This window comes from Homo sapiens, chromosome 15 (genome assembly GCF_000001405.40).
Source record: "Homo sapiens chromosome 15, GRCh38.p14 Primary Assembly".
NCBI lineage: Eukaryota > Metazoa > Chordata > Mammalia > Primates > Hominidae > Homo > Homo sapiens.
In genome coordinates, this window is record NC_000015.10 from 101,579,011 (window position 1) to 101,587,956 (window position 8,946).

The window sequence follows — 8,946 nt, forward strand, 5'->3', positions numbered from 1 at the left end:
GTCCAACATCTGCCACACTCACCGCAGTGCCCACCCCTGCCAGGACTCACTCCTTTGAACCCATAAATAACTTTGATCATATCTCCCAGGAACGTGTATATATGTATATGTGTGTGGGGTACATATGTGTGTGCATGTGTGTCCCCTTGTGTAGAGGGTCTGTGTGACTGTGCCAGGGGGGAGAGAGAGACACACACACGCAGTGATAGAGAGAGACAGAGAGAGAGAGAAAGACAAAGAGCCCACAAAGGGGCTGTGCGTGGGGAGCCAGCAGCTGACCCCCTGCCCCCCTCCCCACTTCTTGATCATGGTTTTAACCTCCTTGAAGGCAGGAGATAGGGATGGACTCACTTCCCTGCACAGAGCAGGAGGCTCAGTTCCGTTTGCTGAATGGCGCGGCTGGAAGTGCTCTGGGGGAAGGAAATCAAAGAATATAAGGAAACACAAAGTGGGGAAGGGAACTGACTTTCACAGACAGCTGCATGGCAGTTCATTTAGATGGGGTCAGGTTTTGGCCATCAAAAAAAGCTAGGAAAAACCTTCCTTTCAGAGCTCTTTGACCTTCGGAATCAGAGAAAAGGGATTGTCAGACGTTGCTGTTTTGAGTTATTTCTGGTTTCCCACTTAATTCTCACAGGTCTCAAGGTTGAGCAACTCATTTTATAGGAGAGAAAACGGAGGCTGGGCCAGAAGGACTGTCCTGGGATTGTCGTGGCAGGTGTGGGCTGAATGGAATGGCTAAGCCTCTTCCAACACTGTTCAAACACCCCTCTGTGGAGGAAGAACTGGGAGTCGGGGGCCAGTGCTGCTGTCCCGGGGAACTCCGAACATACACCCCAGATTTGTATTCAAGACTCATTTGTCACTCATGACTCATTTCCAAGTGATGGAATTCCAACTCACAATAGCTTATAAGTTTAGGGGCAGGTGGGGGACTTATTGCTTTGAGTCATGGGGACTTCCAGGAAAGCACAGCGCTTCAGGCATAGCTGGACCCAGGGGGTGGGCAGCCTGTTGCCCAGCAGCTCCAATGAAGGCAATGACTGGCCCAGCTTCGATGGTCTCTCCCCATCCCAAGGAGGGTCAAATTATCTGACTGGCTGGATCTGAGTCACGTCTCAAACTCTGTCACCAGAGGTGGGGTCAGTGCCAACTAAAAGGAAGGAGGGTTAGCCTCCTAAAGACAGCTGGCCAGACAAAAGACATACCGGCAAGGCCACACCACGCACTCACTAACTTGAGCCCCAACTTGGCCTGACCCCCGCAAAGGAGAGAGGGATTCTTTCTGAGACCAAAAACCCTTTCCCAGGTGGAGCACTCCTCTCTAGCAGCCATTTCTCTCCTTAACCGGAACATCACACTCGGCACGTCTGCAAGGGCATATTAAAGTATAAAAGCCACAGAAACAAAATTGAAAATAAAATTTATGACCCTTTTTCGAGCCAATATCCTAAAGCTGACCAAGATAGCCAACCAGATGTGGTCCCGTAAATTGCGGGAGAAGTGTAACGGGCACTTCTATGAAAGCACACACATAGAGGGGGACTCTGCTCATTTCCTAGGTCCCCGGGGAATGGATGAAGAATGTCTCAAAGATCTCGCTTCAGACAGAGAGAAGAGGTGCACTTGCCAACAATCAGCTCATCTCTTCCTTATTTCTGCTAAACTCGTCAAAGCTCGTCTGTTTCAGCTCCTCGGGCCACCTCAGCAGGACTGTTATTGCTACAGAAAAGTTCTGATACGGCCTGAGAACTTCTGTTTCTCTGGCTTAGAGATGTAGGTGGAGGGGCAAATATCTGAGTCCGATTCTGGTCAAGGATGTGCCATTCTTTTTCTTCCCTTTTAAGTCTTTTATTTGCATCTATTTTATGCTGAACTTCTTCCCACGCCGTAAATGTTTGTTTCTTCAGATTCTTCTGGGATACATTTTCTTCTGTGCAACCTCCTTTTCTGGCTTGGGAACAAATTTTCTTTTTTTCTTCAGCAAGGATCACCTCATGGGAGTTCATGTATGGGTTAATCCCACCGTGAGTTCTGTAAATATGGTGGTGCCAATATCTTGGGTACTTTGTTCACCTAGACATGTTCGTTGACCAGAGAATTTACATCTAAACCCTTAAGTTCAGCATTACTCTCTGCATTTTTAAGCAGGTGTGGCAAAAATTCCATACTCTTTTGGATCCTTGGTATCTAATATCTTGGGTACTTTGTTCACCTAGAGATGTTCATTGACCAGAGAATTTATATCTAAACCCTTAAGTTCAGCATTACTCTCTGCATTTTTAAGCAACTGTGGCAAAAATTCCACACTCTTTTGGAGCCACTGACCCTGCATCCAGCCCTACTGTTGGCCTGGGCACACCTCTCAACTCCACCATCATAAGACAGAATGACACACATTGCTTCGGTTAAGATACACCTTTCAGACACTTGGTGGCTTTCCAGATACACACACCTGTCATGGTCTAGGAGTGTTCTTAAAGTGAACACAAAGATTTAAAACTCTTGATGTGCATGATTTTGTGGGGGTTTTCTGCGTCAAGTGAACAGTAAACCACTTTCACAGGTCACCAGAGACCGCTTATAGGCAGAGCTCCCATTCTCTTTAGATGTAACCTTCTCCTCTGGTTGGATGGAACAGGGGCCATGGTAAAAGTTGCCCACAAGACCCAGAAATGCGTGCGTGAGTGCATGCGCGCGCGCGCGCGCACACACACACACACACACACACACACACACCCATGGAGAGCCTCTCCAACAGAGCAGAGGGAAGACAGGACAGACTCTTCACATGGAAGGCTCAGAACATTCCACAGGGCAGTGGCCAACTTTCCACTATAGCAGGCCTGTTTCATGTCCAGCTAACACCTCTTCTCTATCGTTTCTTGCTAAGAGAATAGTGTCTGACGACAATGTGCTCAGGAACGAGGAGTGAATTATGAGTCCCTCCACCAGTGAGTTGAGGGGTAAGGGTAGAGGTGAGCATGTGACCAGTTCTGGCCAATGAAACACAAGGATAAGTCTTCTAGGAAATTATGGATTCATTTTTTACCCTGATTAGAGAGGGGCAAGGGGGAAAATGTTCCATTTTTGCTGTCTCCTTTTCTCCAGCTTTGTGTGCATGGCGTCAGGCAGTGCTGCTTCAAGCTGCTGCAACTATCAGACCAGAGAATCCCAAAAAAGCCAACTTAGAACGAAGGATCCACTGTGAAACTGCCCACCTCTCTGCTTCCTGATAGGTTAGATAATAGTACTTGCATCATATGAGATAGTGTTATATTCTGTTACTTGCTGCTCAGAGGTACCAACAGCTATACTCATGGTTGCTTCTCTGACTTGAGACAGAACTGGGATAAGACGTCACACCAGTGCCCATCCTACTTACTTGGAATTCCACTTTAGAAGGCTTTCCACACCTGTTTGGAGCATTCACCATGTAACTGATACATGCCTTGGGCTCACATCTCCACTTCCATCCAGACATGTTAGGGATAATTCTTGTGGCAGTCACCATGGCCTTGTGTCTAACACTATTTAGCACAACTACATAATTTTGCATTTCTTTTGCTTTTTTTAAAAATTAAACTTTTTATTTTGAGCTAATCATAGGTTCTTCTGCAGCTGTAAGAAATAATATAGAAAGATACAATGAACGCTTTACCCAGTTTCCCCCAGTGGTAGCATCTTGCAAAACTATAGTACAATATCACAACCAGGAAATTGATATTGATAAAGTCAAGATACAGAACATTTCCATCTGCACAGGAGTCCTCCATGTTTTACTTTTACAGCCACATATACTTCCCTCCAGCCCCCACCCCCGCCACACTCAGTCCTTAAACCCTGGCAATTGCTAATTCATTATATGTTCTCCATTCCCATAATTTTATCATTTCAAGGCTGTTACATAGATAGACTCATACAGTAGGTAACCTTTTGGGTTTTTTTCAGTCAGCATAATATTCATCCTGGATATTCATCCTAGTTTTTACATGTATCAGCAGTTCACTCCTTTTTATTTCTGAGTAGTATTGCATAGTATGACTGTACCACAATTTGTCTAACCATTCACTCACTGAAGAACACCTGGGTAGTTTCCAGTTGAGGCTGTTATGAATAATGAAGGTATGAACATTCATGTACAAATTATTGTGTAAACATAAGTCTTGATTTCTCCAGGATAAATACCCAGAAACACAGTTGCTGGGTTGTACGGTAGTTGCACACTTATTTTCTTAAGAAACTGACAAACTGTTTTCCAGAGTGACTATACCAGTTTATACTTTCACCATCTATGTATAAGTAATCCAGTTTCCCTGCATCCCTAGCAACATTTGGCATTGTCTCTTTTATTTTAGCCATTCTGATAGGTGTGCAATGATACCTCATTTTGGTTTCAATTTGCATTTCCCTGATGGCTAATGATGTTGAACATCTTTTTATATGCTTATTTGCCACCTGTATATCTTCTTTGGTGAAATGTCTGTTCATGTCTTTTGCCCATTTTCTAATTAGGGCTTTTTTTCTTTTTTATTTCTCTTTCTTTTTTTTTTTTTTAACTGTTGAGCTTCAGAAGTTCTTTGTATATAATAAATACTAGTCCCTTGTCACTTATGTGGTTAGCAATATTTTCTCCTGGCCTGTAGCAGCTTTTCAACTCTTAACAGGGCCTTTTGTAAGGCAAAAGGTTTTATCTTTTTTTTTTTTCTTTAAGTTCTGGGATACATGTGCTGAACGTGCAGGTTTGTTACATAGGTATACATGTGTCATGGTGATTTGCTGCACCTATCAACCCGTCATCTAGGTTTTAAGCCCCATGTGCACTAGGTATTTGTCCTAGTGCTCTCCCTCCCCTTGTCCCCGACCCCCAACGGGCCCCAGTGTGTGATCTTGCCCTCCCTGTGTCCAGGTGTTCTAATTGTTCAACTCCCACTTATGAGTGAGAACATGTGGTGTTTGGTTTCCTGTTCATGTATTAGTTTGCTGAGGATGATGGTTTCCAGCATCATCCATGTCCCTGCAAAGGATATTAACTCTTTCTTTTTTATGGCTGCATAGTATTCCATGGTGTATATGTGCCACATTTAGGTTTTATCTTTTTATTAAGTTTAATTTATCAATTTTTCCTTTATGGTTCGTGTCTTTGATGTTAAGTTGAAGAACTCTTTGCCAGACTCTATATCCTGAGCCAGGCATGGTAGATAGAGCCTGCAGTCCTGACTGTTCAGAAGGTTGAGGCAGGAGGATTGCTTGATTGAGGCTGCAGCAAGCCATGATCATACCACCACACTCCAGCCTGGGTGACAGAGTGAGACTTTGCCTCAAAAAAAAAAAAAAAAGTTTTGCATCCCCAAGATGTTTTCCTATGATATTTTTTCTAAAAGTTTTAGTTCTACATTTATAACTATCATTCATTCCAACTTATTTTCTTGTATAAATGAGAGGTCTAACTCAAGATTCCATGTTTTTTTAATGGGTGCCTACTTTATCCAGCACCATTTATCAAAAAGGCTATCCTCCCTCCATTGAATTTTTTTTTAGAGACAGGTTCTCACTCTGTCATAGCTCACTGCAGCCTCAAACTCCTGGGCTCAAGCAGTCCTCCAGCCTCAGCCTCCCAAGTTGCTGAGATTATAGCCATGGGCCACTGAGCCCAGCCCTCTATTGAATTCTTTTGCATCTTTATCCAAAATCAGTTGGGCATATTTGTGTTGGTCTATTTCTGGATTTCTCTATTTGATTCCATCAAACTATGTGTGTATCTCTCCATCAATACCGTAGAGTTTTGTTACTGTATGTTTTAAAGTTGAGTAGACCAATTCCTCCAATTCATTCATCCTTAAAATTGTTTCAACTCTTCTAGTTCCTTCGCCTTTCCTTATAAATTTTAGAATATTTATATCTATGTATATATTTATTTTTTCAAAAACCTTGCTGAGATTTTGATAGAAATTACATTTAGCCAATAAATAATTTGGAGAGCATAGGCATCTTTACTACATTGAGTCTTCCAATCCATGAACTTAGTATGTCCCTTGATTTAATTAGAGCTTCTCTGAATTCTATCATGAGTATTTTGTAGTTTTTAGCATACAAGTCCTGTAAGCATTTTATGACATTTATGCCTATTTCTTTGTCTTTTTTTTAGTGATCATAAATAGCACTGTATTTTAAGTTTCAGCATCCACATGTATTAATAGTATAAAGAAATAAAATTGATTTTTGTATGTTGTTCATCTTTCTATGTCCTTGATAAATGCACTTATTAGTTCTATTTTTTTTGTATATTTCTTGGGATTTTCTGTATAGACAATCATATATGCAAATAGGAACATTTTTAGCTCCTTTTTGATTTGTATACATTTTATTTCCTTTTATTACCTTATTGTAATGGCTAGGACTTCCCTACTATGTTGAATAAAAGTAAGAGTGGATATTTTCACCTTATTCCCAAACTTAGAGGGGAACTATTCAGTGTTATTATTATTATTCAACTAAGCATTAAGTATAATTTTAGCTGTAAGGGGTTTTTTTTGGTACATGGTCTTTCTCCAATAGAGAAAGTTCCTTCTATTCTTAGTTTTCTGTAAGTTTTTTTTTTAATCATGAAAAGGTGTTGATTTTTGTCAAATGCTTTTTCTGTACCAGTTGATACGATTATGTGATTTTTTTTCTTCAGCCTGTTAATATGGTGGATTACATTAAATAACTTTTGAATATTGAACCAACCTAGCATCCTTGGAGTAAGTCCAACTTGCTCATGATTTAGATTTTTTTTCTATATTGATAAATTCTATTTGCTAAGAGTTTGTTAAGAATTTTTGTATCTATATTAAAGCGGGATGTTAATCTTTAGTTTTCCCTTTTTTTAATTGTCTGTCTGGCTTTGGTATTAGGGTAATAGCAGCTTTATGAATCAGTGGAGATGTGTTCCTTCCTTTTCTATATTTGGAAAGAGATCATATAGAATTGGTTTTAAATATTATTTAAATGTTTGGAAAACAATCTTCAGTGAAACCATGTGTGTCTGGAGATTTCTTTCTTGGGAATTTTTAATTTAAAAATTCAATTTCCTGACTTTTGGTTACCAGTGCAACATCTAAAGAGCTTGAAAGTTGTTATTCCCATCTCCACAGCAAACAAACCAATGAAAACACCAAACAACCTGAAAATCAACAATTCTTCTTAGATCCATCAGGGAATTGAAGCCACAGGACAAACTGCCACTTTGAAAATTACAGTGACAGATGGGTATTGAAATTTATAGCTGAAATCACCTTCCTTTCCCCGCCAGAACCTTCTAAGAACACTTAAAGGGTAGCTGACTAAGATTGACTGTAGACCAGCTTGAGAGCTAAACTCCTAGAACCTGGCTTAGTGGGCCCCACATTCTCATGAGTTTTACTTCTAGGAGACATACCAGATTCTCACCAGAAAGATTGGAGAAAATCCCAAAATATTTGGTGATTAAACAAATTATAAATAATACATGGGCCAAACAAGCCTGAAGAGAAATATTAAAATATTTTGGACTAAATGAAAATAAAAACACAACTTATCAAAATTCACAGGATGAAGCAAAAGTAGTTCTTGGGGGAAATTTATGGTATTAAATGCATTATCAGAAAAAAGAAAGATCTAAAATCAATAATCTAAACTTTTACCATGGGGAATTAGTAAAAGAAGAGCAAATTAAATTTAAAGTAAAAATAATAAAAGAAATAATAATTAGAGCAGAAATTAGTGAAATTGCAAACAGGAAAAAATAGAGAAAATCGACAAAATCAAAGCTGATTTTTTTCAAGATCAATAAAATTGATAAGACTCTAACCAGGGTAACCACAAAAAACACATCAGCAATGAATAATAGGAATGAATAATATCAGAAATGAAAGAGGGATCATCACTACAGAGCCCATGGACACTAAAAGGATAATAAAGGAATATTATGAACAACTCTATTTAACTTAGATAGAATGGACCAAGTACATGAAAGATATAATCTATCAAAACTCACGCAGCCAGGCACGGTGGTTCACTTCTGTAATCCCAGCAATTAGGGAGGGTGAGGTGGGCGGATCCACTGAGGTCAGGAGTTCAAGACCAGCCTGGCCAACATGGTGAAACTCCATCTTTACTAAAAATACAAAAATTAGCCAGGCGTGGTGGTGTGCACCTGTAATCCCAGCTACTCGGGAGGCTGAGGCACAAGAATCTCTTGAACCTGGGAGGTGGAGGTTGCAGTGAGCTGAGATCAAGATTGTGCCATTGCACTCCAGCCTTGGCAACAGAGTGAGACTCCATCTCAAAACAAACAAACAAACAAACAAACAAACAACAAAAACACGAAAAACCAACCAAACAAAAAAACTCTCACAAGGAGAAAAGTCTAAATAGGCCTATATCTGCTTAAAAAATGGAATTAGTAACTAATGACTTTTCAAAACTGAAAGTACCAGGTCCAGGTGGTTTAATAGATGAGTTCTGCCAAATATTTGAGGAAGAAAAGATTTCTATAATCTCTTCCCTAAAATAGAGGGAGAAGGAATACTTCCTACTCATTCTATGTGGACAACATTATCATCATAACCAAAACAACAAAAGACATCACAAGAAAGAAAAACTACAGATCAATATCTTACATGAACATAGATGCAAAATCCTCAAAAAATATTAGCAAATAGAATCCAACAATGTAGAAAAAAGTACATATATTACAACACAATTAAAAATGCTCAGCAGGCCTGGTGTGGTGGCTTACACCTGTAATCCTAGCACTTTGGGAGGCTGAGGCGGGTGGATCACCTGAAGTCAGGAGTTCAAGACCAGCCTGACCAATATGATAAAACCCCATCTCTACTAAAAATACAAAAATAAGCCAGGTGTGGTGGCATGTGACTGTAGTCCCAGCTACTTGGGAGGCTGAGAGAGGAGAACTGCTTGAAC

At 40.2% G+C, this 8,946-nt stretch overlaps 1 annotated feature.

Moving 5' to 3' along the window:
- Positions 280-1,479: an enhancer, noted in NCBI's record as "BRD4-independent group 4 enhancer chr15:102119493-102120692 (GRCh37/hg19 assembly coordinates)". NCBI's record gives its function as "activates an origin of replication core promoter dependent on BRD2, P300/CBP, MED14 and CDK7 cofactors, and independent of BRD4, by STARR-seq in HCT116 cells {active_cell/tissue: HCT116}" and the evidence as "EXISTENCE:reporter gene assay evidence [ECO:0000049][PMID:35650434]".